Source organism: Homo sapiens, chromosome 11 (genome assembly GCF_000001405.40).
Source record: "Homo sapiens chromosome 11, GRCh38.p14 Primary Assembly".
NCBI classification, from domain to species: Eukaryota; Metazoa; Chordata; class Mammalia; order Primates; family Hominidae; genus Homo; species Homo sapiens.
In genome coordinates this window covers 63,379,558-63,401,508 of record NC_000011.10, presented here as the reverse complement: position 1 = coordinate 63,401,508, position 21,951 = coordinate 63,379,558, and the positions used below count along the sequence as shown (strand labels likewise).

Below are 21,951 nucleotides of genomic sequence, written 5' to 3'. Positions count from 1 at the left end.
ACATGGGATGTCTTTCTATTTTTTGTATCAGCTTATTGTTTTCATTGTAGAAATCTTTCAGTTCTTTGGTGTAGTTTATTACTAGGTATTTTACTTTTTGTAACGAATTGCAAATGAGATTGCTTTCTTAATTTCCTTTTCAGATTGCTGTTTATTGAAATATAGTTATGGTAATTATGTTTTATGTTGATTTTGTATCCTGCGACTTTACTGAATTTTTTGTTTATTCAGATAGATTTTTGAGAGGGTCTTTGGGTTTTTGTAAATATAAAATTATATCATATGCAAATGAGGACATTTTGATTTCTTCCTTTCCAATATGGATTCCTTTTATTTTTTTCTCTTGCCTAGTTGCTCTGGGTAGGACGTCCACTACTGTATTGAGTAAAAGTGGTGAAAGTGGGCATACTTGTCTTCTACATGATCTTAGAAGAAGAGCTTTCATTTTTTTCCCCATTCTCTATGGTGTTAGCTGTGGGTTTGTTACATATGATCTTATTGTTTTGAGGTATTTTCCTTTTATGCTCAGTTTGTTGAGAGCTTTTATCATAAAGAGAGAATTCGAATTTTATCATATGCTTTTGGCGTCTGTTGAAATGATTATATATTTTTGTCCTTGATCCTACTAATGTTATGTTTTATGTTTATTGACTTGCCTATGCAGAACCATTCTTGCATCCTTGGGATGAATCACACTTGGTCGTGATGAATGATCTCTTTAATGTGTTTTAAAATTTTGTTTGCTACTATTTTGTTGAGAATTTTTACATCTATGTTCATCAGTGATGTTTTCTTTTTTGTGTGTGTTCGTTTCTGGTTTTGGCATCAGGGTAATGCTGGCCTTGTGAAATGAGTTTGGAAGTATTCCCACCTCCTTTATTTTCTCAAATAGTTTGTGTACAATAGGTATGAGTTCTTTAAATGTTTGGTAGAATTCAGTTGTTCTGAAGCTATCAGGTTCTAGATTGTTCTTTGATGGAGGACTTTTTATTACTGCTGGTGTCTTGCTGCTGGTTATTGCTCTGTTCATGGTTTGTATTTCTTAATGTGTCAACTTGGTTCAATCAATATTCTATGTGTCAAAAAAATTTATCCACCTCTTCTAGGGTTTTCAATTTATTGGCATAAAGTTGCTCATAATAGTCTCTAATGATCCATTGGATTTCTGTGATGTCAGTTGTAATATCTCTTTTTTATCTTCAATTTGATTTATTTTTGTTTTCTCTATTTTTTTCTTAGTTTGCATAAAGCCTTGTTGATGTTGTTTATTTTTCACAAAACAACTTTTGACTTGTATTTTTTGTATCAATTTCGTTTATTTCTTGCTCTGATCTTTATTATTTCTTTCCTGCTGCTAATTTTGGGTTTCATTTGTTGTTGCATTTCTACTTCTTTAAGGTACATCCTAGGCTATTTGAAGTCTTTCTACTGTTTTGAGGTAGGTGTTTATTGCTATAAACATACCTGTTAGTGCTTCTTTTGCCATATCTCAAAGGTTTGGTATATTGTGTTTCCATTTTCATTTGGTTCAAGAAATTTTTAATTTTCTTCTTAATTCCTTGATTGACCCATTTGTCATTTAGGAGCATATTGTTTAATTTTCAGGTATTTGTATATTTTTCAAAGTTCCTTTTGTTATTGTTTTATTCCAATGTGATCAGAAAAGATAACTTGATATGACTGAAATTTTAAAATTTCCTGAGAAGTTTTTGTGTTCTAACATGGTCTATCTAAAGAATGCTGCATGTGCTGATGGGAAGAATGTACATCCTGCATTTGCTGAGTAAAATGTTCTGTAAAAATTTATTAAGTCTATTTCATCTATCATGAAAATAAAGTCCAATGTTTCTTTTTTGATTTTCCATCTAGAGGAACTTATCAATGCAGAATGTTGGTTGTTGAAATTCTCAACTATTTTTGTACTGGGGTCTATCTCTTTAGTTCTAGTAGTATTTACTTTATATATCTAGGTGCTCCCATGTTGATAACACATATATTTGCAGTTTTTATATCTTCTTACTGATTTGACCCCTTTATCATTATATAATGATCTCCTTTGTCTGTTTTTACAGTATTGATGTGAAATCTATTTTATTGGATATCACCATAGCAGCTCCTGCTCTTTTTTGCCCTCTGTTTGCATGGAATACCTTTTTCTCTCCATTCATTTCTAGTGCAGGTGTAATTTTACAGGTGAAGTACATTACTTGTAGGAACTTAGAGTTGGGCCTTGTTTTTTAACCCATTCAGCTATTTCATGTCTTTTAATTGGAGAATTTAGTCCATGTACATTCAATGCAATTAATAGGTAAGAATTTATAACTGCCGTTTTGTTATTTGTTTTGTGGTTACTTTGTAAGTCCTCTATATACCTTCTTCCTTTCTTTTTTGTGTATAAGGACTTTGTGTGGTAGTATGTTTTAACTTCTTGCTTTTCATTTTTATGTATCTATTAGAGACTATTTGCTTTGTGGTTAATATGAGGCCTGCAAAAATACCTGATGATAAATTATTTTTAAGTCTGAGTTATTTGCCTTAATAAGGATGCATACACTGAAGTAGAAAGTTTCTTTGAAGGAATAATAATACAGAACAACGAAGAGGAGCAAGATGGCTGAGTAGAAGCCTCTAAGGTCATCTTTCCCACAGAAACAGAAAATTTAACAATTATCGACACACAAAAGGCAGCTTCATAAGAGCCAAAAATAAAGTGGGAGATCACAGTACTTGGTTTTAATTTCATATCACTGAAAGAGACACTGAAGAGGGTAGGAAAGACTTCCTTGAATTGCCAGTGCCAACCCTGCCCATCTCCCAGCAGTGGCTGCCTGGTGCAGGGCATCTTTGTGTGCTTGGGGGATAGAGAGCACAGTGATTGTGGGACTTTGCATTGGGAATCAGTGCTGCCCTGTCACAGAGGAAAGCAGCACCAGACAGAACTCAGCCAGCAACCATGGAGGGAGCATTTAGACCAGCCCTAGCCAGAGGGGAATCGCCCATCCCAGTGGTCAGAATCTGGGTTCTGACAAGCCTCACCATCATGGACTAAAGGTCTATGGGGTCTTAAATAAACTTAAAAGACAGTCTTGGCTACAAGGACTGCTATTCCTAGGCAAACCCTGGTGCTGTGCTGGGCCTGGGATCAGTGAACTCGGGGGACCTGTGATCTAGTGAGACCCCAGCAGCTTGCAGCTCCAGGAGAGAATTCTCCCTTTGACTTGAGGAGAGGAGAGGGAAGAATGAAGAGGACTTTGTCTTGCAACATGGATACTATTTCAGCCACAGTAGAATAGGGTCCTGGGGCCTGCATTCTAGGATGTAGCTCCCAGATGACATCTCCAGACATCTCCAGGGGCAGAAGGAAACGTACTGCCTTGAAGGGAAGGACGCAGGCCTGACAGGATTCATCACCTGCTGACTAAAAAACCTTGGGTCCTGAATAATCATCAGTGGTGGCCAGGTAGTTCACTCGATTGGCCTTGGGTGAGACTCTGCCTTGTGCTGGCTTCAGGTGGGACCTGGCATATTTCCAGCTGTGGTAATTAAGGGGAGACACTCCTTCTACTTGAGAAAAGAAGAGCCAAGATTAAAGGAGGCTTCGTCTTGCAGCTTAGGTACCAACTCAGCCACCATAGGATAGAACACCAAGTGGGGTCTTGGGGTCCATAAATCCAAGCCTGGGCTCTTGGATGGCAGTTTGGGACCTGCTCTGGGCCAGAGGGAAGCCCATTTCCCTGAAAGGTAATTCTCAGGCCTGGAAGCAGCATTCACACAAGCTGACTGAAGAACACTTAGACCTTGAGTGCACATTGGCAATAAACAGGTAGTACTTACCATAAACGTGGGGTGGTGGTGGCCATGAGATGACTCCTCTGCTTGTGGAAAAGGGTGGGAAGAATGGAAAAGACTTTCTTTTGTGCCTTGGGTGCCAGCTCAGCCACAGTAGAATAAAACACCAGATAGATTTCAAAGGTTTCTGACTCTAAGCCCTGGTTGCTGGATGGCATCTATAGACCCATCTGTGGTTGTAGGGAACTTGTGACCGTGAAGGGAATAACATGAACCTAGCCAGCTTTGACAACTGCTGACTGTAGAGCCCTAGGGCCTTGGGCAAACCTAGGCAGTAGCCAGGCAGTGATTACTATGGGCCTTGGGTGATACCCAGTGCTATACTGGCTTCAGGTCTGATACAGTGCAGTTCCAGTGGTGGTGGCCACAGAGGTGCTTGTGTTACCCCTCCCCCAGCTCGAGGCAGCTCAGTATAGAGACAAAATGCCCATTTGTTTCAGAGAAAGTAAGGGAAGAGAACAAAAGTATCTGCCTGGTAATCCAGATAATTCTTCTGGATGTTATCCATGACCATGATGTCAGTATATCTGTGGGTCTGCAAGAACTGCAGCATTACTGGCCTTGGGGTCCCTCCTAATGAACATATGTCTGCAGTGATGAAAAACAGATCAAATCACCAAAGTCCCTTTGCATACATGGAAAACTTTCCCAAGAAAGATGTGTACAAACAAACTCAGACTGTGAAGACTACAATAAATACCTAAGTTTTCAGTGCCCAGACACTGATGAACATCCACAAGCATCAGCACCATCCAGGAAACATTACCTCACCAAGTAAACTAAATAAGGCACTAGGGACCAATCCTGGAGAGACAGAGATATGTGACCTTTCACACAGAGAATTCAGAATGGCTCTTTTGAGGAAAATCTATGAAATTAAAGATAACACAGAGAAAAAAATCAGAATTTTATCAGATAAATTTGACAAAGAAATTGAAATAATTAAAAATAATGAAGCAGAAATTTTGGAGTTGAAAATGCAATTGAAGTGCAGTGTTTGGAGGCTTGCATCGTGAATTTTAGCTCCAGAATGACTGCAGAAACAAAACGGGATTCCTGAAAGGACCCACAGACCCTTTGGAGGAAGCCGACTGCTCCTGCAGGAGCCAGGAGATATCCCAAATACGATGAGTGCCCAAACTGCAGAAGTAGAAAAGAGAGATCCTCCACCCCTGAACACGCACCCCCACTGGGGAAACTGAAGGTCTACTTTGCAGGAAGTTTCTGACCTTACCTGGAGCTGAGTTAATTTAGAGAGCCAAGAGAAATACAGGGGCAGAGGAAGCAGCAGGAAAGGCCCTGGGAGCTTGCTAGGCCCCCATGCCAGCCATTCCTGCCTGGCACTTTGTGGGGGGCTGTGGAGAGAGGCAGAAAAATGTCACAGGAAGAAGGATATCTGCAGCTGAACTTTGTAATAATTTGAACTGGATGTGAAGCCTCCTGGCCAGAACTTGGGAGAGAGTGCGAATTTGGCCTGCAGACTCCACAGGCAGAGAAAGAACTAAAGCCCTTTTCTCTTGCAGCTGGGAGGTGGGTAGCCTGGGGAAGGTTCTAAAGCCCTGCTCACTCACTGCCTGGAAAACAGACTCGGTGCTGTTAGTGGGACACAATGGGAGTGAGACCAGCTCTTTGGATTGCATGGGAGCTGGGTGAGGCCTGTGACTGTGGGCTTTCCCCCACTTCCCTGACAACCTGCATTACTCAGCAGAGGCAGCCATAATACTCCTAAATACACAACTCCTTTGACCTGGGAACCTCACCCCTATCCTCAACAGCAGCTGTAGTAAGACCCACCCAAGGAGAGTCTGAGCTCAGACATGCCTAGTCCTGCCCCCACCTGATAGCCTTTTCCTACCCAACTTCTGAAGACAAAAGGCATATATTCTTGGGAGTTCTAGGGCCCCATTCACTGCTGGTTTCTCTCCACAGCTGATGTTCTCTGGAAAGTGCCACCCCCAGCCAGGAGGCCAACCAGCACAAAAATAGAACATTAAACCACCAAAGCTAAGAACCTGCATAGAGTCAATTTCACCCACTAGCCACCTCCACCAGAACAGGTGCTGGTATCCATGGCCGAGAGACCAATAGACAGTTCAAATCACAGGACTCTGCAGACAATCCCCAGTACCAGCCCAGAGCCTGGTAGACTTGTTGGATGGCTAGATCCAGAAGCAAGATAACAATCAGTGCAGCTCAGCTCTCAGGAAGCCACATCCCTAGAAAAAGGGAGAGTACTCCATCAAGGGAACACCATGGGACAAAATAACCTGAACAACAGCCTTTAGCCCTAGACCTACCCAAATGAGAAGGAACCAGAAAACCAACTCTGGTAAAATGACAAAACAAGGCTCTTAAACAACCCCCCAACATTACACTAGCTCACCAGCAATGGATCCAAACCAAGAAGAAATTCTTGATTTACCTGAAAAAGAATTCAAGAGGTTAGTTATTAAGCTAATCAGGGAGGCACCAGAGAAAGGCAAAGCTCAGGGCAGGGAAGTAAAAAATGATACAAGAAGTGAAGGGAGAAATATTCAAGGAAATAGATAGCATAAAGAAAAAGCAAAAGAAACTTCAGGAAATATTGGATACACTTATAGAAATGCAAAATGCTCTGGAAAGCCTCAGCAATAGAATTGAACAAGCAGAAGAAAGAAATTCAGAGCTCGAAGACAAGATCTTCAAATTAACCCAATCTAACAAAGACAAAAAAATAAATAAATGAAAAAAGAACAAGAAAATATGAACAAAGCCTCCAAAAAGTCTGGGATTATGCTAAACGACCAAACCTAAGAATATTTGGTGTTCCTGAGTAAGAAGAGAAATCTAAAAGTTTGGAAAACATATTTGGGGGAAAAATTGAGGAAAACTTCCCCAGCCTTGCTAGAGAACTAGACACGCGAATATAAGAAGCACAAAGAACTCCTGTGAAATTCATCTCAAATAGATAATCGCCTAGGCACATTGTCGTCAGGTTATCTAAAGTTAAGACAAAGGAAAGAAGCTTAAGCGCTGTGAGACAAAAGCACCAGGTAACCTAAAAGGGAAAACCTATCAGATTAACAGAAGATTTCTCAGAAGAAACCCTACAAGCTAGAAGGGATTGGGGTCCTATCTTCAGCCTCCTCAAACAAAACAATTATCAGCCAAGAATTTTGTATCCAGTGAAACTAAACATCCCATATGAAGGAAAGATTGTCTTTTTCAGATAAACAAATGCTGAGAGAATTCACCATTACTAAGCCACCCCTACAAGAATTGCTAAAAGGACCTCTAAATCTTGAAACAAATCCTGGAAACACATTAAAATAGAACCTCTTTAAAGCCTAAATCTCACAGGACCTATAAAACAAAAATAGAATTAAAAAAAAAGAAAAACCAAAAAACCAAGGTATAAATGTGACAAATAGCATGATGACTGGAATGATACCTCACATCTCAAGCTAAGAACGTTGAAAAAAGGTTAGAGGAATTGCTAACTAGAATAACCAGTTTAGAGAATAACATAAATGACCTGATGGAGCTGAAAAACACAACACGAGAACTTCGTGAAGCATACACAAGTATCAATAGCTGAATTGATCAAACGGAAGAAAGGATATCAGAGATTGAAGATCAACTTAATGAAATAAAGCATGAAGACAAGATTAGAGAAAAAAGAATGAAAAGGAATGAACAAAATCCCCAAGAAATATGGGACTAAAAGACCAAACCCACATTTGCTTGGTGTACCTGAAAGTGATGGGGAGGATGGAAACAAGTTGGAAAACACTCTTCAGAATATTATCCAGGAGAACTTCCCCAATCTAACAAGACAGGCCAACATTCAAATTCAGGAACTACAGAGAACACCACAAAGACACTCCTCAAGAAGAGTAACCCCAAGACACATAATCATCATATTCACCAAGGTTGAAATGAAGGAAAAAATGTTAAGGGCAGCCAGAGAGAAAGTTCGGGTTACCCACAAAGGGAACCCCATCAGACTAACAGCAGGAAAAGCACTTGACAAAATCCAGCATCTCATTATAATTAAAACTCTCAGCAAAACTGGCATACAAAGGACATACATCAATGTAATAAAAGCCATCTATGACAAACCCACGGCCAACATAATACTGAATGGGGAAAAGTTGAAAGCATTCCCTCTGAGAACTGGAACAAGACAAGGATGCCCACTCTCACCACTCCTCTTCAGCATATTACTGATAGTCAAACTGTCACTGTTTGCTGATGATATGATTGTTTACCTTGAAAACACTAGAGACTCCTCCAGAAAGTTCCTAGAACTGATAAAAGAATTCAGCAAAGTTTCCAGATACAAAATTAATGTACACTAATCAGTTGCTCTTCTATACACCAACAGAGACCAAGTGAAGAATCAAATCAAGAACCCAACCCTTTTTATCGTAGCTGCAAAAAAATTAAAATACTTAGGAATAAACCTAACCAAGGAGACAAAAGACCCCTACAAGGAAAGCTACAAAACACTGCTGAAAGAAATCATGGATGACACAAACAAATGGAAACACATCCCATGTTAATGGATGGGTAGAATCAGTATTGTGAAAATGACCATACTGCCAAAAGCAATCTACAAATTCAATGCGATTCCCATGAAAATAAAACCATCATTTTTCACAGAATTAGAAAAAACAATTCTATAATTCATATGAAACCAAAAGAGAGCATGCATGGCCAAAGCAAGACTATGCAAAAAGAACAAATCTGGATCTTTACTTGTGACATGCACAGATCAAGAAATTGGAAAATGTGAAGCAACCCTTATTGAGGTATCATCTTAGTGTTTTAGAGAAACCAAGAATTTTAAAAAATGAGAATATCAACATTTGGTTTTGTGTAAAAGTGGTGTTTGCATTAAAATACTTTTTCAATGAACTGTATAAGCTATGTTTTTATTAAACTACAATATATCAGTAAGTGTTGCAAAAAAAGAGACTTCCTCAAGGCCTTTAATAGTCAGACTCCCAAAAGCCAATGATAAAGAAAAAATTCTAAAAGCAGAAGAGAAAAGGAACAAGTAACATGCAGTGGAGCTCCTATACATCTGGTAACAGACTTTGCAGTGGAAATTTTAAAGACCAGGAGAGACAAGCATGATATATTTTAAGAGCTGAAGGGGGAAAAAAAAACCTTTTATCCCAGAGTAGTATATCCAGCCAAAAAATAGCCTCAAACATGAAGGAGAAATAAAGACTTTCCTAGAAAAACAAATACTGAGGGATTTCATCAACACCAGACCTGTCCTACAAGAAATGTCAAAGAGATTTCTTCCATCTGAAAGACAATGACATTGATGAGCAGGAATATATCATCTGAATGTACAAAACTCAATGGCAAAAGTAAGTACACAGAAAAACACAGAATAGTATAACACTGTAATTGTGGTGGCTAGACTACTTGTATTTTGAGTAGGAAGATTAAAAGATGAAACAATAAAAAATAATGAATAAATTTCAGACATGGAAAATACAGTAAGATTTAAAAACAAGAAAAGGTTAAAAAGCCAGGAGACAAAGTTACAGTGTAGACATTTTATTAGTTTTCTCTTTCCTTATTTGTTTGTTTATGCAATTACTGTTACATTGTGATTGGTTTAAAATTATGGGTTAAAGATATTATTTGCAAGCCTCATGGTAACCTCAAATTGAAAAACATGCAACAGGTACACAAAGAATGAAAAGTAGGAGATTAAAACATATCACCAATGACAGTCATCTTCACCTAAAGGAATACAGGAAGGAAGGAGAGAAGGAAGATACTACCACAAAACAACCAGAAAACAAATAACAAAATGACAGAAGTAAGTCTTTTTTTTAAAATCAATAATAACATATAAGGTAAATGAACTAAACTGTCCAATCAAAAGACAGAGAGTTCCTGAATGGATTAAGAACAGGACTCAATGATCTGTTGCTTACAAGACATCCACTGTATTTAAAAAGATATACAGACTGAAAATAAAGGGATGGAAATGATATTCTATGCCAAAGGAAACCAAGAAAGAGCAGGAGTAGATACACTCATCAGAGAAAACAGATTTTAAGGCAAAAGTCTAAAAAGAGACAAAGAAGGTAATTATATAATGATTAAGAGCTAATTCAGCAAGAGAATATAACAATTGTAAATATATACACACCCAGGTATATAAAGCAAATATTAATAGAGTTAAAGAGAGAGATATACCCCAATACAATTATATTAATAACTGGAGACTTCAACTTCCCACTTTCTGCAATGGACAGATCATCCAGACAGAAAATCAACAAAGAAACATTGGACTTAATCTGCATTGTAGAACAAATCGACCTAATAGATACTTATGAAACATTTCATCCAATGGCTGAAGAATATGCACTTTTCTCCTCAGCTCATGGGTATTTCTTAAGGATAGACCATATGTTAAGCCACAAAACAAGTCTGAAAAAAGTCAAAATAATTGAAATTATATTAAGTGTCTTATCTGGCCACATGAAATACAACTAGAAATCAATAACAAGAGGAATTTTGAAAATCATATCAACACATGGAAATTAAACAATATGCTCCTGAGTGCAAGTGGATCAATAAATAAATTAAGAAGGAAGTTTAAAAGTTTCTTGAAACAAATGATAATGGAAACACAACATATCAAAACCTACGGGATACAGCAAAAGAAGTACTAAGAGGTATATTTTTAGCTATAAGTGTCTACATCAAAAAAATAGAATAAACTGAAAGAAACAACCTCATGACACATCTTAAAGAACTAGAAAAGCAAGAGCAAACCAAACCCCAAATCAGCAGAAGAAAATAAATAATAAAGATTAGAGCAGGTGTGGATAGGAAGAATCAATATTGTGAAAATAGCCATACTGCCCAAAGTAATTCATAGATTCAATGCTATTCCCATCAAGCTACCAGTGGCTGTCTTCATAGAATTAGAAAAAACTACTTTAAATTTCATATGGAACCAAAAAAGAGCCCGTATAGCTAGGACAATCTTAAGCAAAAAGAACAAAGCTGGAGACATCATGCTACCTGGCTTCAGACGATAACCAAAAGTTACAGTAACTTAAGGTTACAGACCCCAAAACAGCATGGCACTGGTACCAAAGCAGATATATAGGCCAATGGAAAAGAACAGAGACCTCAGAAATAATACCACACATCTACAACCATCTGATCTTTGACAAACCTGGCAAAAACAAGCAATGGGGAAAGGATTCCCAATCTAATAAATGGTGCTGGAAAAACTGGCTAGCCACATGCAGAAAACAGAAACTGAACCCCTTCCTTACACCTTATACAAAAATTAACTCAAGATGGATAAAAGACATAAATGTAAAACCAAAAACCATAAAAACCCTAGAAGAAAACCTAGGCAATACCATTGAGGACATAGGCATGGGCAAGGACTTCATGACTAAAACACCAAAAGCAATTGCAACAAAAGCCAAAATTGACAAATGGGATCTAATCAAACTCAAGAGCTTCTGCACATCAAAAGAAACTATCATCAGAGTGAACAGTCAATCTACAGAATGGGAGAAAATTTTTGCAAGCTACCCATCTGACAAAGGCCTAATATCCAGAATGTACAAGGAACTTAAACAAATTTACCAGAAAAAACAACCCCATCAAAAAGTGGGCAAAGGATATCAACAGACGCTTCTCAAAAGACAACATTTATGTGGCCAGCAAACATGAAAAAAAGCTTATCATCACTGGTCATTAGACAAATGTAAATCAAAACCACAATGAGATACCATCTCATGCCAGTTAGAATGGTGATCATTAAAAAGTCTGGAAACAACAGATGCTGATGAGGATGGGGAGAAATAGGAAAACTTTTATACTGTTAGTGGGAGTGTAAATTAGTTCAACCATTGTGGAAGACAGTGTGGCAATTCCTCAAGGATCTGGAACCAGAAATACCATTTGACCCAGCAATCCCATTACTGGGTATGTACCCAAAGGATTATAAATCATTCTACTATAAAGACACATGCACACGTATGTTTATCGCAGCACTATTTACAGTAGTAGAGACTTGGAACCAACCCAAATGCCCATCAGTGATAGACTGGATAAAGAAAATGTGGCACACATACACCATGGAATACCATGCAGCCATAAAAATGGATGAGTTCATGTTCTTTGCAGGGACATGGATGAAGCTGGAAGCCATCATTCTTAGCAAACTAACACAGGAACAGAAAACCAAACACTGCATGTTCTCGCTCATAAGCGGGAGTTGAACAATGAGAACACATGGACACAGGGAGGGGAACATCACACACTGGGGCCTGTCGGGGGTTGGGGGAAGGGGGAGGGATAGCATTAAGACAAATACCTAATGCATGTGGGGCTTAAAACCTAGATGACGGGTTGATAGGTGCAGCAAACCACTGTGGCACATGTATACCTATGAAACAAACCTGCATGTTCTGCACATGTATCCCAGAACTTAAAATAAAAAAAAAATTAGAGCAGAAATAAATTAAAATAAAATAAATAACACAATACAGATGATCAATAAAATTAAAAGTTAGTTTTTGAAAAGATAAACAAAACTGACAAACATTTAGCCTAACTAAACAGAGAAGATCCAAATAAATCAGAGATTAAAAAGGAGACATTGTAACTGATACCACAGAAATTCAAAATGTCATTAGAGGCTACCATTAACAACTATATGCCAATAAGTTTGAAAACTTAGAAGAAATAGATTAATTACTAGACACGAATAGCATACCAAGGTTGAACCATGAAGAAATTTAAAACCTGAACAGAGTAATAAAAAATAATGGGATCAAAGCTATAATAAAAGGTCTTTCAGCAAAGACAAGCTCTGGACCTGATAGCTTCACTGCTGAATTTTATCAAAATTTAAGGAAGAACTAATGCCATTTTTATCATATTATTCAAAAAAAAAATACAGGTGGAGGGAATACTTCCAAACTCATTCTATGAGGCTAAAATTACCCTGATACCAAAATCAGACAAAGGCACATTAAAAAAAGAAACCTACAGGCTAATATCCCTGTTGAACATTGATGCAAAAATCTTCAACAAAATACTAGAAAACTGAATTCAACAACACATTAAAACAATGATTAATTATTACTAAGGGGAATTTATCCCACAGATGCAAGGATAGTCAAACATATGCATATTGGTTAGCATGATATATCATATTGACCAAATAAAGGACAATACCATGTGATCATATCCACTGATGCTGAAAAAGCATATGATAAACTTCAACATCCATTTCTGATAAAAAAAAAAAACCTCTCGAAAAACTGGGCATAGAAGAACATACCTCAACATGATAAAAGCCATAAACAACAGACTCATAGCTGGTATCATACAGAATGGAGAAAAAATGGAAAGTTTTCATCTAAGATCTGAAACACAAAAGATGCCCACTGTCATCTCTGTTATTCAACATAGCCCTTGAAGTCCTAGCTGGAGTAATCAGAGAAGAGAAAGAAATCAAGGACATTCAAATTGGAAAACTCGAAGTCAAATTATTCTTGTTTGCAGATGATATAATCTTATATTTGGAAAAATCTAAAGACCCCACCACAAAGCTATTAGAAACAAGAAATAAATTCAGTAAAGTTGCAGGATACAAATTCAGTGAAGCTGCAGGATACAAAATCAACAAATAAAATCAATAGCATTTCTATATGCCAATAAGGAACCATCTAAAAAAGACCAAGAAAGTCAACATGCTTACAATAGTTACAAATAAAATAAAATACCTAGAAATTAAGTTAATAAAAAGTGAAAAAACCCTCTGATGAAAACTTTAAAACATTAATGTAAGAAATTGAAGAGGATTAAAAATGGAAAGATATTCCATGTTCATGGATTGGACAAATCAATATTGTTGAAATGTCCATACTACCCAAAGCAATCTACCGATTCAATACAATCCCTATCAAAATACCAATGACATTTTCCGCAGAAATAGAAAAAACAATCCTAACATTTAAGTGGAACCAAAAAAGACCAAGAATAGTCGAAACTATCTGGAGTAAAAAGAACAAAACTGGAGGAACCACATTACGTGACTTCAAATTATACTACAGAGCTATAGTAGCCAAAACAGCATGGTACAGACATAAAAACATAGATCAGTGTATGCTTAGGTCAGTGTAACAGAATAGAGAACCCAGAGGTAAATCCAAACATCTATAGTCTACTTCTTTTTGAGAAAGGTGTCAAGAATGTGCATTGGGGAAAGGACAGTCTTTTCAATACATGGTGCTTGGGAAATGGAATATCCATATGCAGAAGAATGAAACTAGATCCTTATCTCTTACCATATACAAAAATAAAATCAAAATGGATTAAATTCTTAAATCTAAGACCTCAAACTATGAAACTGCTACAAGAAAAAATTGGGAAAATTCTCCAGGATATTGGACTGGGCAAGGATTTCTTTAGTAATACCCCAGACGCACAGGCAACCAAAGCAAAAGTGAACAAATGGGATTATATTAAGTTAAAAAAATCCTTCTGCAAATTCTTTGAAACCAAGGAGAACAAAGAGACAACATACCAGAATCTGTGGGTTGCAGCTAAAGCAGTGTTAAGAGGGAAATTTATAGCACTAAGTGCCCACATCAAAAAGCTAGAAAGATCTCAAATCAACACCCTAACATCACAACTAAAAGAACTGGAGAACCAAGAGCAAACAAACCCCAAAGCTAGCAGAAGACAAGATATAACCAAGATCAGAGTGCAACTGAAGGAGACAGCGATACAAAAAACAAAAAACAAAACAAAACAAAAAACAAAACAAAACAAAAAAACAAAATCATCAACAACAACAACACAAAACCCTTCAAAAAACTGATGAATCTAGAGGCTAGATTTTTGAAAAAATTAATAAAATATATAGACTGCTAGCTAGACTAATAAAGAAGAAAAGAGACAAGACTCAAATAGACACAATAAAAAATGGCAAAGTGGATATCACCACTGGCCCCATAGAAATACAAACTACCATCAGAGGATACAATAAACACCTCTATGTAAATAAACTAGAAAATTTAGAAGAAATAGATAAATTCCTGGACACATACACCCTCCTAAGACTGAACCAGGAAGAAGTTGAATCCCTGAATAGACCAATACGTTCTAAACTGAGGCAGTAATTAATAGCCTACTTACCAAAAAAAAAAAAAAAAAAAAAAAAAAAAAAAAAAGTCCAGGTCCACGTGGATTTATAGCTGAATTCTACCAGAGGTACAAAGGGGAGCTGGTACCATTTCTTCTGAAACTATTCCAAACAATTGAAAAGGAAGGACTCCTCCCTAATTTATTGTATGAGGCCAGCATCATGCTAACCTGGTAGGGATAAAAACCTGGCAGGAATACAACAATAAAAGAATACTTCAGGCCTATATCCTTGATGAACATTGGTGCAAAAATACTCAACAAAATACTGGCAAACTGAATCCAGCAGCACACAAAAAAGCTTATTAACCCCGATGAAGTCGGCTTCATCCCTAGATGCAAAGCTTGTTCAACATAAGCAAATCAGTAAATGTAATTTATCACATAAACAGAACTAAAGACAAAAACCACATGATTATCTCAATAGACACAGAAAAGGCCTTCAATAAAATTCAACATCCTTCATGTTAAAACTCTCAATAAACTAGGTCTTGAAGGAACATACCTTAAAATTATAAGAGCCATTTATGACAGACCCACAGACAATATCATTCTGAATGGGCAAAAGCTGGAAGCATTCCCCTTGAAAACTGGCACAAGACAAAGATGCCCTCTTTCACCATTCCTATTCAACATAGCATTGGAAGTTCTGGCCAGGGCGATCAGGAAAGAGAAAGAAATAAAGGGTATTTGAATCGGAAGAGAGGAAGTCAAGTTGTCTTCATTTGCAGATGACATGATCTTATATCTAGAAAGCCCTATTGACTCATCCCAAAAGCTTCTTAAGCTGATAAGCAACTTCAGCAAAGTCTCAGGATACAAAATCAATATGCAGAAATCACAAGCATTTCTATACACCAACAACAGACAAGCAGATAGCCAAATCATGAATAAACTCCCATTCACAATTGCTGCAAAGAGAATAAAATACCTAGGAATACAGCTAACAAGGAAAATGAAGGACCTCTTCAAGGTGAACTACAAACCACTGCTCAAGGAAATCAGAAAGGACACAAGCAGATGGAAAAACATTCCATCTTCATGGATAGGAAGAATCAATATCGTGAAAATGGCCATACTGCCCAAAGCAATTTATAGATTCAATACTATTTCCATTAAACTACCATTGACATTCTTCAAAGAATTAGAAAAATCTGTTTTAAAATTTATATGGAATGAAAAAAGAGCTCATATAGCTGGGACAATCCTAAATCTAGGCAACAGTATTCAGGACATAGGGATGGGCAAAGATTTCATGATGAAATCACCAAAAGCAACTGCAACAAAAAAAAAATTGGCCATAGGATCTAATTAAACTAAAGAGCTTCTGCACAGCAAAAAAAAAAAAAAAAAAAAACTGTATCATCAGAGTGAACAGGCAAGCTACAGAGTGGGAAAAATTTTTGCATCCTATCCATCTGACAAAGATGTAATATCCAGTCTATAAGGAACTTAAATTTACAAGGAAAAAACAAAAAAACTCCATTGAAAAGTGGGCAAAGGACATGAAGAGACACTTCTCAAAAGCATACGTTCATGTGGCTAACAAACATATGAAAAAAAGCTCAACATCACTGATCACTAGAGAAATGCAAATCAAAACCACAATAACATACCGTCTCACACCAATCAGAATGGCAAATATTAAAAAGTCAAGAAATAACATGCTGGCAAGGTTGAGGAGAAACAGTAATGCTTTTACACTGTTGGTGGGAAGGTAAATCAGTCTGACTACTGTGGAAGATGGTGTGGTGATTTCTCAAAGATCTAGAACGGAAATACCATTTGACCCAGCAATTCCATTACTGAGTATATACGCAAAGGAATATACATCATTCTATTACAAAGATACTTGCACACGTACATTCATTGCAGCACTATTCATAACAGCAAAGACATGGAATCAACCCAAATGCCCATCAATGATAGACTGGATAAAGAAAATGTGGTACATGTACACCACGAACTACTATGCAGCCATAAAAAAAATGCGATCATGTCCTCTGCAGGGACATGGATGAAGCTGGAAGCCATTATCCTCAGCAAACTAATGCAGGAACAGAAAACCAAACACTGCATGTTCTCACTTATAAGTGGGAGCTGAACAATGAGAACACATAGACACAGGGAGAGAAACAACACACACTGGGACCTGTTGGGGGTTGGGTGCAGGAAGAGAGAACATTAAGAAAAATAGCTAATGCATACTGGGCTTAATACCTAGGTGATGAGTTGATAGGTGCAGCAAATCACCATGGAACATGTTTACCTATGTAACAAACCTGCACATCCTGTACATGCACCCCAGCACAGTCATTGTCTTCATCTACTCCCTGATTTATTTTGGTCATTTGAAATATTTACAATATTTCTTTGTTGAATTTCTCACTTTGTTCCTCTTTTTTTTTTTTTTTCTTAGATGGAGTCTCGCTCTGTCACCAGGCTGGAGTGCAGTGGCACGATCTCAGCTCACTGCAATCTCCACCTCCCGGGTTGAAGTGATTCTCCTACCTCAGCCTCCCAAGTAGCTGGGACTACAGGCGTGCACCACCACGCCCAACTAATTTTTGTATTTTTAGTAGAGACAGGGTTTCACTATGTTGGCCAGAATGATCTCTATCTCTTGACCTCGTGATCTACCTGCCTCAGCCTCTCAAAGTGCTGGGATTACAGGTGAGAGCCACTGCGCCCGACCTGTTCATCCATTTTTATCTTGACTTATGTGTGCATTGTTATGGTAGCTGTTTCTAATTTGTTATCACTTTATTCATATACCTCTCTTTATGGTCAGTTTCTGGGGATTTTTTTGTTCCCTTTTGAGTCATGTTTCTCTGTTTCTTCATGTTCTTTGAAGCTTTGCATTGGTGTATGCACATTTGAAGAAACAGCTCCCTCTTCCTATCTTCCCAGACTAGCTTTTATAGGGAAAGACCTTCACCAATCAACCCAAATAGAGATTCTAGGGGCTTGTCAAACATTCTCTGTAAAGTGTCTTATCTGTATTTGTGTGTGCATATTTCTGATCAGAGAGATCTACTGGTTTCTGTTTTAAAATATCTTGTAATCTGGCTGCCCGTGGTGTCTGTCTGCTGTACTATGAGTTCTCTGATGCAGCAGGATGACAGTCAGATTTTTTTTATCATGTTTTATTCTTAAGATATCCAGAGTATCTGGAGTCCCATTGGCATCCCGGGTGGGAAAGACAAAAACACATTTCTTGGGCATCTCCCTGAAAAATTAGAATGTTGGACACATACTGCACTCCCTTCCCTCCCTCCTGAGGGAGAAACCTAAAATTGCCCATCTTATTTTTATTGCACTGAGCTGTACCAGTCACAGATTTTCTTTGTGCTCACCTTCTATTCAGTGACCCAAACATCCAAATATGCAAGTTCCATAAGTGCTCTGAGTGAGGTGAGACAAATACCAGTTCCTCACACAGTGTGTCAAAAGGCCCAGATGTGTATTGCTCCACTCCTTCCTTTTCTATGAGGGAGCGGTCATAGGCCAGGGTGTTCTCTCTTGGCACTGAGCTGAAACAACTTTGGGAAGGGGTTGTCATGGGTCAGGTGAAATTACTCTTCTTACCCATTTCAGTGCAACTGTTCTTGGGTTTGTGCTCATCTATTGTTTTACAACATCTTACCTCTATTTTGGAAATCTCATAGAGGTATTTGGATCCAATCATTGTTAAATCAATGTTTCTGTGGGGGGATTAATAGGTAGGACTTCCTATTTATGTTTTTTCTATGCTTGCGATCATGTCCTAGTATTTTAGAGGTTTTTATGTACCTTGATCTAAATTACATATCAAAATATGGAAATAATCATTGAGCTGTATATATTTGTGTACAAAATTCTCTTTGTAATTTACCTCATTAAAACTGGAAACAAACACGTTAAGAAACTTCAAGCCAAAGCATATACTGTAATTGAAGTTCTCTGCGTTGGTGTCCAGTGAAGAGCCTGATAGGGTGTTGCGATAAACAAAAACTATTGCATAAATTAATTCCGTGTCAGTCTTTTCACAACTCTTTTACTACATTCAAACACAGCAATTCTCTTTACGGCTTTCTCATCTTTTATGTGCAAATCTGTTTCCTAAACATGCTGTACTACTTGAAATGAGGACAAGATTCATGTCTCCAGTACTGTAACTTACCCTCAAACACTGCATGAAGCTTACCTCGTAAAGGACAGGAGGGAGATCCTTTTACATATGTTGGGCATGTGGAGCATTTCACACAGAGAAGGTTTTTTTTTTTGTGCTGCCTCCAGTTCTTTTTTCATGGTGGATTTCAAAATCTTCAACAATAGCAGAAACAATAAACTGTACAGTTGTCAGAAAAGAGTAGGCACTGTAGGCGCACTGGTCAACCCACAGATGAGAAGTGAGTTGACTGCACTTTCTGTCTGGTGGAAAATATAAGCCTTAAAATGCAATGATATGTGTAAAAATGATGTGAAAAGTGAATTAGGACGTTAAAGCAGCCTCCAGGAAATTATGTTTCAAGGATATTTTAGACAAGAGATCCAAGTGGCTACAGAGCATTGAAAAGGGTATGTATGTTAGAGAATCAGACCATGATGGGGACCGAATAAAGATTACAGTCCAAATGAAGGCCATATTGGATTATAGTCCAAAGCTCCATTTGGACCACATGGTCCCCAAAGGACGTGGACATTGGTTCTCAGCTCACTGCCCCTGGTGAAAAACAGCTTGCCTCAGAAAGGAGCAAAATTTCCTGAGAGAACTCATTTTGGTTCTTGGCTCAGAAATACTGAAGGTTGGGGAAGGAGGGGCTGCTTTCTCCCTAATCTCATGCTTCCATGAGGAATAACTCTCAAAAGAGACAATCCTGGCCCTTCTGTACATACCCTCAGCTACCCATAAAGAACTGAGTTACTTGATTGGTGAGTGTGGGAGAATGCCATAGGCATTCTCAAGTGCCCAGAACACTTTTAGAAAGAGATCATATTCAGGCCTGCTTTCTGGGCTGCACCCTATATTTACCAGGTTAGGTTTTGTACCTGTTAAAAAAACTGGGACAGGTAAGTTCAGTTATGGAATGAAGCATTAGAAATAATGTTGATGGTAGGTATTGAAAGTCACATCCTCTATTCCAGTCCTCACAGTAGTAAAACACCTAAAATTTTTTATCTTCATGGTCCTAACCACTTTAAATATCTCTGGGTTATATGTGATCTGGGCAGAGGAGATGTATGTTATTTACTGGACTCCCAGACCCATAAGACTGGAGTAATTAATGGATTGATATTGACATAATGTGGAGCAGCTTTAGGTTAGAGGGTTGTCTAGAACAGGTACATTAGGAAACCTGTGAGATGGAGGTTAAAACAGGACTAAGACCAGACCTTTATGAATAATCATTATAAAATAATAAATTCAAATTTAGGCAACATTAGGTATCCAGTCATGTATAAAATCCATTTTCCATACCAAGCTTCAATTGCATTTCATAAGCAATGCTCTCTTTTTTTCCCTGGGAAACTGATGGGATCATCAGTTGCCATTTAGTTTAATAATGCATCATTCTTTTTTGATTCCAATGCTCTTTTATTTGTTTTTTGTTTTTTACTTTCCAACTTTTAGGCTCGGGGCACATGTGCAGGTTTGTTACATGGATAAATTGTGTTTCATGGGGGTTTGGTGTGTAGATGATTTCATCACCAAGTTAATAAGCACAGTACCCAATAAGTAGTTTTTTTGATCCTCACCTTCTTACCTCCTTACATCTTCCACCCCCAAGTAGGCTCTGGTGTCTATTGTTCTCTTGTTTGTGTGTATGTATACAAATCTCCATTTGGACCAATGTTTAGCTCCTATATATAAGTGAGAACATGTGGTATTTAGTTTTCTTTTCCTGCATTAATTGGCTTAGGATAATGAACTCCATCTCTATCCATGTTGCTGCAAAGGACATGACCTCTTTTTTTGGCTGCTTAGTATTCCATGGTGTATATGCATTACATTTCCTTTATCCAGTCCACTGTTGATGGGCATTTAGGTTGATTCCATGTCTTTGTTATTATGAAAAATGCTGTGATGAACCTACATATGCATGTGCCTTTATGACAGAAAAATTTGCATTTTGAGGGGTATACACCCAGTAGTAGATTGCTGGGTCGAATGGTAATTTTATTTTCAGTTATTTGAGAAATCTCCACACTGCTTTCCACAGTGTCTGAACTAATTTACATTTCCATCAAAAGTTTTTAAGTGTTCCCTTTTTTCTGCAGTCTCACCAGCATCTGTTATTTTTTGACTTTTAAATAATTGCTATTCTGACAGGTGTGAGATGGTATCTTATCGTGGTTTTGATTTGATTTATCTAATGATTAGTGATGTTGAGCATTTTTTTCATATGCTTGTTGGCTGTGTGTATGTCTTTTTTTGAGAAGTGTTTGTTTGGCCGGGCACGATGGCTTACGCTTGTAATCCCAGCACTTTGGGAGGCCAAGGCAGGTGGATCACTTGAGGTCAGGAGTTTGAGACCAGCCTGGCCAACATGGTGAAACCCCATCTGTACTAAAAATACAAAAATTAGTCAGGTATGATGTCTCAAGCCTGTAATCCCAGCTCTTCAGAAGGCTGAGGCAGGAGAATCGCTTGAACCCTGGAGGTGGAGGCTGCAGTGAGCCAAGATCATGCCACTGCACTCCAGCCTGGGTGACAGAGTGAGACTCCATCTCAAAAACAAAACAAAACAAAACAAAAACAACTGTTTGTTCATGTGCTTTGGCCATTTTTTATGGGCTGTCTGTTCTTTTTTAATTTGTTCATGTGCCTTATAGATTGTGAATATTAGGCCTTTGTTGGATGAACAGTTTGCAAATATTTTCTCCCATTCTATAGGTTTTCTGTTTACACTCTTCTTTATTTAC

At 37.8% G+C, this 21,951-nt stretch overlaps 1 protein-coding gene across 3 annotated transcripts in view; it reads right to left on the bottom strand.

The window, feature by feature from the left end:
* SLC22A9 (solute carrier family 22 member 9) overlaps positions 1–21,951 on the bottom strand; it is a 40,510-nt gene that overhangs the window by 8,786 nt on the left and 9,773 nt on the right. For all 3 annotated transcript variants that reach the window (NM_080866.3, XM_017017159.3, XM_047426335.1), the window contains one exon: positions 19,232–19,350. In NM_080866.3, the coding sequence (NP_543142.2) occupies positions 19,232–19,350 (119 nt within the window). The remainder of the gene's footprint in view (positions 1–19,231; positions 19,351–21,951) is intronic.